Source organism: Homo sapiens, chromosome 19 (genome assembly GCF_000001405.40).
Source record: "Homo sapiens chromosome 19, GRCh38.p14 Primary Assembly".
Taxonomy (NCBI): Eukaryota; Metazoa; Chordata; class Mammalia; order Primates; family Hominidae; genus Homo; species Homo sapiens.
In genome coordinates, this window is record NC_000019.10 from 16,869,096 (window position 1) to 16,882,124 (window position 13,029).

Consider the following 13,029-nt stretch of genomic DNA (forward strand, 5'->3'; position numbering starts at 1 on the left):
ACGGGGCCCCGTTCTGTCCTGGAGCTGGGCTGAGCGACAGACCCAGGCTTGACGCTGTCAGACCCCCTGTGAACCCCGCCCCACATCTCAGAATCCTCTTGGCTCCTTTGTCTGGGGTCCCGGGATGACTTGGGTCTGCCTCACTTTCGGAGAGGGGACCAGGAGCACATGGGGCTGCACAAGAGGTTGAGGCAAGCGACCTACCCCCCAGGCCCTGCTGCCTCACCGATGTTCGCCACCCATCCTGCTCTGGGCAGCGCTCATCCACCTTGGTGGCCCAGTTAACAGCGAGTCGTGAATGGGCACTGGGGGTCCTCTGGGTGCTGGGTGGCTTTCCACCTAATGGCCGCCCTTCCCCCCACAGCACCAGGAGCAGCACTCGGAGGGCCGCAGTGCCCCCTCTAGCGAGCCGCACCTCATCTTTGTGTACGAGGACCGGCAGATCCTGGAGGACGCAGCAGCGCTCATCAGCTACTACGTGAAGCGGCAGCCGGCCATCCAGAAGGAGGACCAGGGCACCATCCACCAGCTGCTGCACCAGTTCGTGCCCAGCCTCTTCTTCTCTCAGCAGCTGGACCTGGGCGCCTCCGAGGAGTCAGCTGATGAGGACCGGGACAGCCCCCAGGGGCAGACCACAGACCCCAGTGAGCGGAAGAAGCCGGCGCCAGGACCCCACAGTAGCCCCCCAGAGGAGAAGGGGGCCTTCGGGGATGCCCCGGCCACTGAGCAGCCACCCCTGCCGCCCCCAGCCCCGCACAAGCCCCTGGACGATGTCTACAGCCTATTTTTTGCCAACAACAACTGGTACTTCTTCCTGCGCCTGCACCAGACCCTGTGCTCCAGGCTGCTGAAGATCTACCGCCAGGCGCAGAAGCAGCTTCTGGAGTATCGGACCGAGAAGGAGCGGGAGAAGCTGCTGTGTGAGGGCCGCAGGGAGAAGGGCAGCGACCCCGCCATGGAGCTGCGGCTGAAGCAGCCCAGTAAGGCTCCAAAGCCTGCCGGGAGGCCCCGGGGGGTGCCTGGGGTTAGGGGTCACAGCTCATGATCTGACATGTCCTGTTACTTTTCTTTCTGGCTTTTCATTTTAAGAGAATTCTGTGATTTCAAATGGGAAATTGCAAACAGGAAGTTGCCAGCATAAGACAGAGGTCTCACGTACCCCTCGCCCAGGCTCCCCTGGCCGTGGCACCTGTCCTGGGTGTAGCACCCTCTCCTGACTGGGGAACATTTGTTTCTCATGGGCTTTCTCGTGGAGCCGTCATGGCCCAGCTCCACAGTACCCTTTTTCTTTCTTTTTTTTTTTTTTTGAGATGGAGTCTTGCGCTGTTGCGCAGGCTGGAGTATAGTGGCAGGATCTCGGCCCACTGCAACCTCCACTTCCCAGGTTCAAGTGATTCTCCTGCCTTAGCCTCCCAAGTAGCTGGGATTACAGGCGCTCACCACCATGCCTGGCTCATTTTTTGTATTTCTTTTTTGAAATGGAGTCTTGCTCTATTGCCCAGCCTGGAGCACAGTGGCATGATCTCGGCTCACTGCAGCCTCCGCCTCCCAGGTTCAAGCAATTCTCTGCCTCAGCCTCTGAGTAGCTGGGATTACAGGCACCCACCACCATGTCCGGTTATTTTTTTTTTGTATTTTTAGTGGAGACGAGGTTTCACCATCTTGACCAGGCTGGTCTTAAAACTCCTGACCTTGTGATCCACCTGCCTCGGGCTTCCAAAGTGATGGGATTACAGGCATGAGCCACCGCGCCCAGCCCAATTTTTTGTATTTTTAATAGAGACAGGATTTCACCATGTTGGCCAACCTGGTCTCAAACTCCTGAACTCAGGTGATCCGCCTGCCTCAGCCTCCCCAAGTGCTGGGATTACAGGCATGGGCCACCATGCCTGGCCTCCACAGCATTCTCGCTGCCATCCCTGGGTTGCCGGCCAGATTAGGCAGCCTCGGAGGGTGGCAGTGAACACCAGCTACTCGGGTTTCCTGGTGATTCCCACATTTGCCCCAGGGGTGGCAGGTGAGGGCTGTTGGGCCCCATGGGGGCATTTGTTGGGGCTCTGTCATGCCAGAGTTTGGCCTGCGTGACTTTGCGCTCTCCAGGAGGCATATGGATGAGGCGGTGTGTCTCCGCAGGTGAAGTGGAGCTGGAGGAGTACTACCCGGCCTTCCTGGACATGGTGCGGAGCCTGCTGGAGGGCAGCATCGACCCCACGCAGTACGAGGACACCCTACGCGAGATGTTCACCATCCATGCCTACGTGGGCTTCACCATGGACAAGCTGGTGCAGAACATTGCGCGGCAGGTGAGCCGGGCCGGGGTGGGGCCGGCCCTGAGGACGGCGGAAATGGCTCTACCATCATTTCACTCCCCGCTCGGGAGGGGGCCCGTGGTCAGCACAGCAAACCTATCCTGTTTTTTCTTAATTGAGACAAAATTCGCATAACGTAAAATTAACCATTTTGAAGTGTACAGTTTGGTAACATTTGGTACATTCACAATATTGTGCAACCACCACCTCTGTCTAGTTCCAGAACATTTCATCTTTCCAAAAGGAGACCCCATCCCCATCAGCAGCCACTGCCCATTCCCCTGCCCCGAGCCCCTGACATCCAGTCAACTGCTTTCTGCCTCTGTATTTCCCTCGTGCTTCATTCCTTTTTATGGCTCTGTAATACTCCATTGCGTGGGTAGCTACGTTTTGTTTCTATCTCTTGGTGGACATCTGGGCTGTGGCTGCCTTATAGAGATTGTGAGCAATGCTGCTCTGAACATTTGTGTACAAGTTTTTGTTCCGTGTCCCTGTTGACAAACCTTTCTTGAGGTTAAATTGACAACATGGAAAAAACCTTAACCCACTTATCCTGAGGGAGGGTGGGAATAGTGATTTCATCTGCGTTGGTTTTAGTAGTAGCAAAAACCCAGGCCCCACTGAATGTCAACACAAGGAAACTGGTCACGTAAATATAAACAGCAGACGTCCCAGACGAGCTGGGTGTGGTTCCAGGACATGGGTCCTGCCTGGTTTCTGCCAGAATCATTGTTCATGGTGACCTCCATTTCCTGGTCACCAAGTAAGGCTGTTCATCATAAAGTGGAAAAAAAGCTGGAAAAAAAATAATGCCATTACTCTCCCACCCAGACACAGCCACGAGAAGCATTTCAGACAGGACGTTTCCTTCCAGGTTTTAAAGACTGCTTAATGGAGCTAAAATACCCAAGCAGAAAAGTCCCCAAATTTGAAGGGGGCAGATGGATGGGCTTTTCATCAACAGAACCCCTGCCCCTGTGTCCCCACCCAGCCACCTGCCACCCATGGACACCCACAACCCTGATTTCTTTTTCTTCTTCTTCTTTTTTTTTTTTTGAGACAGAGTTTTGCTCTTGTCTCCCAGGCTGGAGTACAATGGCACAATCTCTGCTCACAGCAACCTCTGCCTCCTGGTTTCAAGCAATTCTCCTGCCTCAGCCTCCTGAGTAGCTGAGATTACAGGTGCGCACCACCACGCCTGGCTAATTTTTGTATTTTTAGTAGAGAGGGGGTTTCACCATGTTGGGCAGGCTGGTCTCGAACTCCTGACCTCAGGTGATCCGCCTCCCTTGGCCTCCTAAAGTGCTGGGATTACAGGCGTGAGCCACCGCACCGGCATCACAACCCTGATTTCTACAGAGAGGTAGATCCCTGGCCTCGAGCTGTGTGTTAACAGCAGCACACAGCGCCCAGCCGCATCCTGGGAGCGTCATTCTGTGAGATTCCTGTGTTGAGATGAACCGGCCAAGGATTCCGAGGAACGACCCCCGATTCCGTCCACCTGTCTCCTGAGGACAGGCATGGGCGGTGCCCCGTGGGTGTGTCTGCGGTGGCCGTCTATGTACATTTCTGCTGCTGCCCTTGGGGTAAGGCACAGAGAGGTGTGTCCCGCTGATGGCAACTTTCCGTTTCCTGGGTCACTCGTACCAGTGCTGTGCGAGGCCGCACTCTGTGTCCTCCCTGGGGCTCAGGGGCGTCTCTCCATCAGCTGGGAGTTCAAATCTCGGTGGGCTCACGTTGCATTTCCCTGATGGCAAATGTGGCTGGGGCCCTGTCCTTTCATGGCCGTTGGGACATCTTTTCTCATGGAAAGCTATCCACGGTGTTTGCGCCTGTTTCCGTTGCGTCTGCCTTGTTGGTGACTGGGAGGATTTCTGTGTCTGGCCATGAGGACTTAGTGAAACCCATAGCTGCGTTCTGACACCTTCGCTTCAGCCCCCTCCACTTTCCCTCCGTGTGCCCGAAATGGGTCCCTGCCCATCACCATCCACAGCAGTGGCCACTCCCCAGGTGAGGGAAACACGCACGGGGCAGCCTGGAGAGAGGACACCCAGGGCCCAGCACATGGTGTTGGGGAAGTGACGCAGGGGACGCCAGGGGGCTGGCAGTCTGTCCCCTCCCCCCCCCCCCAGGCTGGGCACCCCTCATGGGCCATGGCTTCGGGGACAGCAACCTTGCTTGTGACACCAGGAGATTGGACCAGATGGTTTATGGAAAGCATTGATTAATGCTTTAAAAAAATCCCCCCCTTCCATAAACAACTCCTCTAGAACCTGTTAAAAACAAAGCAATGAAAATGGGGCTGTCTGGCTGGAGCTGTAGTGAGAGCCACATGCTGCCCTGCTGTCCCAGCTGTGGCTGCACCACACCCCAGCTGCATCTCCCTGGGCCAGGTGCTCACTGCGGGCCCCTCCACACTGTTTGTAACCTGCCTCGAGGCCATGTCTGGACTCTGCCTCCCTTTTTCTTAAAAATTAGCATTGCTGTTTTTTAGCAGTAGCAGTTGGCATTCAGTGGGCACTTGCTGTGTGCCAGGTACTGTCTGAAACCTATGCGTGTCCAGGTGTTATTGTATCCATTCAACAAAGCTGCACATGGAACCCCCAAGGAGTGTGGTCCCCTGACCAGGGCCTGGGCTGTGCAGGCGGGTGATTCACACAGCCCTGTCTGCCCCACGATCCCTGCTGTTTCCATTCCTTCCTTCTTCAGTGCAAAGGTAAAAGGAGTAGCAGTGTATTTACAGCCAAGCATTTAGGGGAAAGGAACAGCCTGCACTCAGGCCACCTTCAGCTCATTCCTGGGTTTGCTTTGGAACATATTTTTCCGTGTCTTTTCTGTGTGTTTCTCACACCCGGGCAGGGTTTGCTGGTCTGGCCTGGTCTGTTTTGTTCAGGTCTGGTCTGGTCTAGTTTTGGTCTGGTCTGGTCTGGTCTAGTTTTGGTCTGGCCTGGTCTGGTCTGGTTTGGTTTTGGTTTGGTCTGGTTTGGTCTGGTCTGGTCTGGCTTTGGTCTGATTTGGTTTGGTTTTGGTTTGGTCTGATTTGGTCTGGTCTGGTTTTGGTCTGGTCTCATCTGGTCTGGTGTGGTTTGGTTTTGATTTGGTCTGATTTGGTCTGCTCTGATCTGGTCTGGTCTGGTCTGGTTTGGTTTGGTTTTGATTTGGTCTGATTTGGTCTGGTCTGGTTTGGTGTGGTTTTGGTTTGGTCTGGTCTGGTCTGGTTTTGGTCTGGTCTGGTCTGATCTGATCTGGCCTGGTTTGGTTTGGTTTTGGTTTGGTCTGATCTGGTCTGTTTGGTCTGGTTTGGTTTGGTTTTAGTCTGGTCTGGTCTGGTTTTGGTATGGTCTAATCTGGTCTAGTTTGGTTGGTTTTGGTTTGGTCTGGTTTGGTGTGGTTTGGTCTGATCTGATCTGGTCTGGTTTTGGTCTGGTCTGATTTGATTTGGTCTGGTTTGGTTTGGTTTTAGTCTGGTCTAGTCTGGTCTGGTCTGGTTTTGGTCTGGTCTAATCTGGTCTAGTTTGGTTGGTTTTGGTTTGGTCTGATCTGATCTGGTCTGGTTTTGGTCTGGTCTGATTTGATTTGGTCTGGTTTGGTTTGGTTTGGTTAGGTTTTGGTTTGGTCTGGTTTGGTCTGGTCTGGTCTGGTTTTGGTCTGGTTTGGTTTGGTTTTGGTTTGGTCTGGTCTGGTTTAGTTTGGTCTGATCTGGTCTGGTCTGGTTTGGTTTTGGTTTGGTCTGGTCTGGTTTTGGTCTGGTTTGGGTCTGGTCTGGTCTGGTCTGTTTGGTCTGGTCTGGTCTGGTCTGGTCTGTCTGGTCTGGTTTGGTCTGGTCTGGTCTGGTCTGTTTGGTCTGGTCTGGTCTGGTTTTGGTCTGGTTTGGGTCTGGTCTGGTCTGGTTTTGGTCTGGTTTGGGTCTGGTCTGGTTTGGGTCTGGTCTGGTTTGGTCTGGTCTGGTCTGTTTGGTCTGGTCTGGTTTGGTCTGGTCTGGTCTGTTTGGTCTGGTCTGGTTTGGTCTGGTCTGGTCTGTTTGGTCTGGTCTGGTTTTGGTCTGGTTTGGGTCTGGTCTGGTCTGGTTTTGGTCTGGTTTGGGTCTGGTCTGGTTTGGTCTGGTCTGGTCTGTTTGGTCTGGTCTGGTCTGTTTGGTCTGGTCTGTTTGGTCTGGTCTGGTCTGGTCTGGTCTGGTTTGGTTTTGGTTTGGTCTGGTCTGGTTTTGGTCTGGTTTGGGTCTGGTCTGGTCTGGTCTGTTTGGTCTGGTCTGGTCTGGTCTGTTTGGTCTGGTCTGGTCTGGTCTGGTCTGGTCGGTTCGGTCTGGTCTGGTCTGGTTTGGTCTGGTCTGGTCGGTTTGGTCTGGTCTGGTCTGTTTGGTCTGGTCTGTTTGGTCTGGTCTGGTCTGGTCTGGTCTGGTCTGTTTGGTCTGGTCTGGTCTGTTTGGTTTGGTCTGGTCTGGTCTGGTCTGTTTGGTCTGGTCTGGTCTGGTCTGGTCTGGTCTGTTTGGTCTGGTCTGCCCACAGCCTGTCAGGATTCTGGTCTCTTCATCCCTGTGTCATGCACTCTCCATCCTGATGTGTTTCTGGCCTTTGTCGACTTCCTCTGTGGGTGAGGTGGGGACTCCCGCAGGAGGCGGGGTGGCCGCACCACCTGCTTTCCTCCCGCCAGCTGCACCACCTCGTGAGCGATGACGTCTGCCTGAAGGTGGTGGAGCTCTACCTGAACGAGAAGAAGCGGGGTGCCGCTGGTGGGAACCTGTCCTCCCGCTGCGTCCGCGCTGCTAGGGAGACCAGCTACCAGTGGAAGGCTGAGCGCTGCATGGCCGACGAGAACTGCTTCAAGGTGAGAGGAGGCCTGGGGCTGGGAACACGCCGGGAGGCCCGGCCGCTCACTCCGCTCTGGACTCAGTCCTGGGTGGACCCTGGTTCAGCGGCTGGGACACCGGCCCTGCTGCAGAGCCCATGAGGTACCTTTGACCTGCAGGAAGCATCAGGGCTTTGGGAGGGTGGCAAAGGCGGGAGGCGGGTGGCCTTGCGAGCCTGCGCTGTGCCGGCTGGGCTGTGCCGGCAGTGGAGGCTGTCAGCGTTCCTGCTCCGCAGGTGATGTTCCTGCAGCGCAAAGGGCAGGTGATCATGACCATCGAGCTCCTGGACACCGAGGAGGCCCAGACGGAGGACCCTGTGGAGGTCCAGGTGAGGCCCTGGCCCCAGTCTGTGCCACGCATACCAGGGAGCGCCTGAGGGCAGCAGCATGGGGCTCCCACCAGCCAAGCGCAGGCCGCGCAGCATCCAGAGACCCTCCCTCTGCAGGCCACAGGCTCTCCTTGAGGCCTGGTGGGTGGGGTTGCCTCCCTCCCTGCTCCCCCACCAGGCTCTCTTCTGTGCCCCCTCTCCAAAGAGCAGACCACTCCTCCTGAGCAAGCGGTTGTGTCCCAGGGCAGGAGGGGAACCAAGCCACCTCTCCCTGGCCCCCGACTCCCACTCAGGGCATCCCGTGGCTGTGACCTCTGCACCTCTTGTGTCAGGGCTGCATCCTGTTCCTAATCCCCAGCAGAGGAGCCACCTGGGCCCAGCTCCCAGTCACAATTTTTGCGGGGACAGATGTTTCCTGCTCACCTCCCGCATCCTGGTGACAGTGAGGCATTGACCCGTGTGTGTCCCCAGGGTGGTCATTGGGGCCTGCAGCTCCCGGCACCTGCCAACAGGTCCAGTGTGTGTGCACATTACTCAGCTAGGCCAACCCCATTCATTTCCTGGGGCTACCACCACAATGACCACAAACCACGTGGCTTCAAACAACAGAAGTCTATTCCCTCAACGTCCTGGAGGTCAGCAGTCCACAACCACAGTGTGGGCCGGGCGGTGCTCCTGCCAAAGGCTCTGGGGCGGATCCTTCCTGCTCTTCCAGCTTCCGGGGGCTTCTGGCGCTCCTCAGCTGTGGCCTGGTTGTGTGAGTCCCGCTGTCACTGGGTCCTCTGTCAAGAGCTATAGTCTGTTGGGGTCTCCGTCAGGGATCAGAGTCCTCTGCAGCGGCTCTCCTCATGCTCTGGCAGTGGGGGGCACAGAACCCCTGTGAGCTCCTGAACTCAGAGTCCAGAGTAAGAGTGGCCATAGCCCTGCTGTAGGGGCATCACGGGCTGTGTCTCTCCCTGTCCCCAGCACCTGGCTCGGTACGTGGAGCAGTATGTGGGGACCGAGGGCGCGTCCAGCTCGCCCACTGAGGGCTTCCTCCTGAAACCTGTGTTCCTGCAGAGGTAAGAGGCCCTGAGATGCATGCTCTGTTCCTTCCTTCCTGGGCCCAGGGAGTGTCCCCTTTGTCCTGACGGGGGCTGGACCATGGCACACTGTCTGGGAGCACTTAGTAGGTGCCTGCTGTGTGCTGAGGCAGGCCCTGCCCTTTTGAGGCTTGTGGTTTGCAGTGGAGGGATTAGTAACCCCAGGACGGTGAGGTGTAGGAGGGGCAAGGCCAACCCCACGATGCGTCAGTGGGTGAAGAGTGAATGCCCGGACTGGAGGGAGACGCTGCCAGAGCTGGTGGGGCCAGGCCAGAGGCGGGTGGCTGTGGCAGGACCCTGGACCACCTCAGGTCGGGCTAGGATGGCACCTATGGGACCAGTGGGGGCTGCTGGTGGGTGTTCAGATCTGGGGGCATTTCTTGTTGCTTCCATTTGCTTTCTGTGGACCCCTGGGAGGTAGCACATCTTCTGATGGTCCCAGGCCTGGGGGTTTCCCAGCCTGCAAATCCTCCTCCCACAATGCCGAGAGCCAGAGTCCATTCCACCTCCTTTCGCCCCCAGGAACCTCAAGAAGTTCCGCCGCCGGTGGCAGAGCGAGCAGGCGCGGGCCCTGCGCGGTGAGGCCAGGAGCTCCTGGAAGCGGCTGGTGGGCGTGGAGAGCGCCTGCGACGTGGACTGCCGCTTCAAGCTCAGCACTCACAAGATGGTGTTCATCGTGAACTCCGAGGACTACATGTACCGTCGCGGGACCCTCTGCCGGGCCAAGCAGGTGCCAGGGGAGGCCTGGGCTGCCCCGACATGCCCCTCCTCACCCCAAGTCCTGGGGCCCTGGGGGTCCAGCCCTCAGCTGCCCTGACACCCGGCCTCTTCAACAGGTGCAGCCCCTGGTCCTGCTCCGCCACCACCAGCACTTTGAGGAGTGGCACAGCCGCTGGCTGGAGGACAATGTGACGGTGGAGGCGGCTAGCCTGGTGCAGGACTGGCTGATGGGTGAGGAGGACGAGGACATGGTACCCTGCAAGACGCTGTGTGAGACAGTGCACGTGCACGGCCTGCCCGTGACCCGCTACCGCGTGCAGTACAGCCGCCGCCCGGCCTCGCCCTGACCCGCCCTCATGGGCACCGGGCAGGCGCCTCACAGAGCACAGACGTGCCCTCGGCCTTGGTCGTGTCGGGGCCGTTTTCTTGAACGACGTGAGAGGCATCTCCCAGCCCCTCTGCTGCCGGACAGCGCACTCCAGGGCAGGACGCCGCCCCCGTGGCTCCCGGTCTCCTGTGGGCCTGCTGTGTGCCAAACCTGAGCTACCTGCACCCGAGCCCTGGGGCTCAGCCCCACCACAGGGGCGGGTGGACGTGCTGGCCGAGGAACAAGCAATCATGTTTGCGTCCCCGTCCGTCACATGTGCCAAATCCCTGGCAGGCAGATGGCTCCTGCCCCATATTCTTGCCGTGTCTTGGAAAAGTCACAGGTGACAGCCCTCCTGAGGCCCACACTTTGGAGGGGGTCCATGTCCAAGAGACCCTGACAAGGAAGGAGTTGAGCCCTGGGTAGGCTTGCTTGAAAAGTGAGTCCTTCCAGAATATTCTCAGAGCTGCCAGAAACATCATCTGAGGGTTTGGGCATCAGCTCTGCCTGGCTGGTGTTCAGGCCCTCAGTCACTTTGGAAGTGAGAAGAACCCTTCAGCCAAACCTTTGGGATCCCATTTTGAAGTCCAGAGCTGGAGCAGGCGGGCAGTGCCCTGGGAGACCCCGCTCTGGATAAGACACCCAACCCCAACTCCAGCAGCTGGACTCTGGGCCCACAAGGGGAGGGACCCCAGCCAGTATTCCCTCAGAGCCGGCACGACCCTGCTGTGGGGCGGCGGGCCCAGTCGTGTTCCTGCAGTGGGCACCCTAGGCGTATGTGTATACACGCACAGATATTTATTCCTTTCGCTTTTAGTGGTTGTTATTTCTGTAGCAGCCAAGTCCTGCGGCTCCCTGGGGCTGAGATCTCCCTTTGTGGAACTCCGAGAGCCGCCCTGACAGTCCCAGCCGCCACCCAAGGAGCCCCATCCGCCCACCCACCCTGGGACCCACGCGGCCACTCCAGGGATCATTGTTGTCCTTTTGTGAGGGGCTGAGGCGACTGTCCCATGGAGGCATCCAAGGCTTTCTGTGCCAAGAATCCCAAGTGACTGGGGCTGGGGACCACTTCTCCAGGCCTCTCTCCCCGACCATGAGAGCCCCTGGCCCTGGCCCCTGCACACCAGTAGGCCCAGAATAACCGCCACCCTTGCCATCCTGCAACAGCTGGACTCAAGTTTCCAGGAAGTGGAGATGTGTTTCTAGAAGTTTCCTGTGGAACCTGGAGGCTCCTGATGCCTTTGACTCCAGGCTGGGCGATTCCGATGCTGACCCGTCCTCCTGGGCTCCCCACCCCCGCTCCCCAAGTGTCACACAGGCACTTTGTACACATCCTGGTTTTCTAAGAAGGGAACTTGCCATCAAGATTCCTGTACCAGGCCCACGGCCGTCTCGGGCAGAGCCACCTGGGCCCCGGGTGCAGCCGGAGACCCCGCCGAGCCCCTCCTCCCAGTATTCCCATCCCCGCATGCTTCTAGGGAGCGCCTCTTTTCCGTTCTTGAGGAATTTCTGTTCTGGGGCTTGTCCTTCCTTTGCAGCTGTTTTGAATGTAGTTTTCCTTTTCTATTTATTTGCACATTAAAGTTAATAATTGAATATTGACATCAAGCCGTGAGGGTGTGTTGGTCTTCCTGTGAGAGCCTTGCTGACTTCCTGCCACCAGGTCAGTGGGCTGGACCCATGAGAGCAAGGGGTGGCTGGGTGTGCCTACCTGGGACCAGGGGAGTCGAAGCCCCTCCTTGAACCAAGATCATCTCACACCCTGCACCTGCCCCGCCACGACATGGGAGTGTCTTCTAGAATATTCTTTCCCCATTCCATTTGCACATTTAGTGGGAATTAGAAGCGTCTCCTTCGCCCGAGTGTCTCTCATGCAGAACCCAATTTAAAGATCATGGTGTTTGCTCTAAGGTGTTTGTTCTAAGCTTCCCATGCCCAACCTATCCGTCCAGGCCCATGCCTGCCCACCCACCCCACACGACCACCCTCTGTACTCCTTGGGGCCCCACCCACTTCCTGGCTTTCACCATCATTTTCTCCTCATCTCCTGCCCCCTGTCTGCATCCCAAGCTCCACACCTGCTTCCGGGTAGCAGAAGCCCCAGCTCTGCTGTGTCCCCTGGCTGACATACCTGGAGGGTTCCAAGGCAGAAGTGGCCAGCCCCTCCCCCTCAGTATGGGCTCCTCCATCCTCTGTAGGGGAGGGGCCATAGCTTCCTCCCAGTGACCCATGTGCTCCCTGTACACCCAAGCGTCTCTGGCAGTTCTGACCACACCCCCACCGGAGGGTCAGGGCTCCCAGGGAGCGTGGCAAGCCAGACCGGAGGCCGCCCTGTTTCCTTCTGCCTTGATCCCATGGCTGGGGATGCCCAGGGTCCTCTGTGGGCCCCCAGACTGGCTTTCCTTGGTCAGAAGTGCTGCAGGGGCTGGGAAAGGCTGTGCTGGTCCCAGGAGAGCAGACAAAGAGCAGATCTCCGAGGTGGCCCTGCCCTGAGGGGTCCCCTGCCCTCAAGTAGGGCCCATGGCCTTGATGAGGTGATATGACATGAGTTGAGAGAGGTTCCTCACTGGCCCTGAAGATGTCTCCGCTGTGCTGGGGAGGGGACCCTGTGGCAAGGGACAGAGAGTGGCCTCCAAGAGCCAAGGGGGACCTCAGAGCCACCACTACCACCAGGACCCAAATTCTGCCCAAGTCCACTTGGGCCCAGAAAAGGCCCCCGAGCAGCAGATAAGGACACAGCCCAGCTGACACCTTGATCTCAGCCTCATTTGACCCTGAACCAAAGACCCAGCCTCCCAGGCTGGACCCCTGACCCACGGAAACAAAAGGTCATAGAGGCGTGTGGCTGTGAGCCACATTCATTATCCAGAGATAGATACAGCAGCATTAATAAAGCCGCTGCATGTCCAGCACCTCCCCTTCCACCTCCGTCAAGTACGGGGAGGTGGCTGAGGGTCTCAGGAACCCCTACTGAGGGGGGAAATGAAAGAAAAAAGAAAAAATTAAAAAGAGAATTAAGCTTTTCCTGTATTAGGCTGACTTGTCTCAGAGGCAGCAACAGGCACAGCCCAGACCCAGGAAAAGTCTTAATAATACTAAGAAGCCAAGACACAAAGGAATGTGCTCTGGAGCCTCTCCCAGCACTCCCTCAACATAGGGAGAAGAAAAACAAATTTTCCTTTGTTTCATGGTATGAGTTTATAGATTCCTGCTCTCTACACCTAGTGACTTCAAATATTCTGTTTTATCAGCAGTGGAGTGAAGGTCATAAACTGTCTGAGCAGCCTGAGATAGAGCCACCTGGGTGCCATAGTGATGGCCATGGAATAAGCCATGCTAAGCACTAGGGCAAACCTACATAATGGCCATCTGAGTTG

The 13,029-nt window shown here is 57.1% G+C and overlaps 1 protein-coding gene across 4 annotated transcripts in view, besides 1 other annotated feature; it reads left to right on the top strand.

The window, feature by feature from the left end:
* The window catches only part of SIN3B (SIN3 transcription regulator family member B), a 50,952-nt gene extending 39,698 nt beyond the window's left edge, over positions 1-11,254 (top strand). For all 4 annotated transcript variants that reach the window (NM_015260.4, NM_001297595.2, XM_006722704.2 and 1 more), the window contains 7 exons: positions 365-980; positions 2,134-2,303; positions 6,960-7,133; positions 7,391-7,483; positions 8,450-8,544; positions 9,088-9,295; positions 9,402-11,254. In NM_015260.4, coding sequence (NP_056075.1) covers positions 365-980; positions 2,134-2,303; positions 6,960-7,133; positions 7,391-7,483; positions 8,450-8,544; positions 9,088-9,295; positions 9,402-9,632 — 1,587 coding nt within the window. In that variant the 3' untranslated portion in view covers positions 9,633-11,254. The remainder of the gene's footprint in view (positions 1-364; positions 981-2,133; positions 2,304-6,959; positions 7,134-7,390; positions 7,484-8,449; positions 8,545-9,087; positions 9,296-9,401) is intronic.
* Positions 6,737-6,886: an enhancer, noted in NCBI's record as "active region_14249". NCBI's record gives its function as "activates an Ori minimal core promoter by ATAC-STARR-seq in GM12878 lymphoblastoid cells {active_cell/tissue: GM12878}" and the evidence as "EXISTENCE:reporter gene assay evidence [ECO:0000049][PMID:35858748]".
* Positions 11,255-13,029: the final 1,775 nt, after the last annotated feature.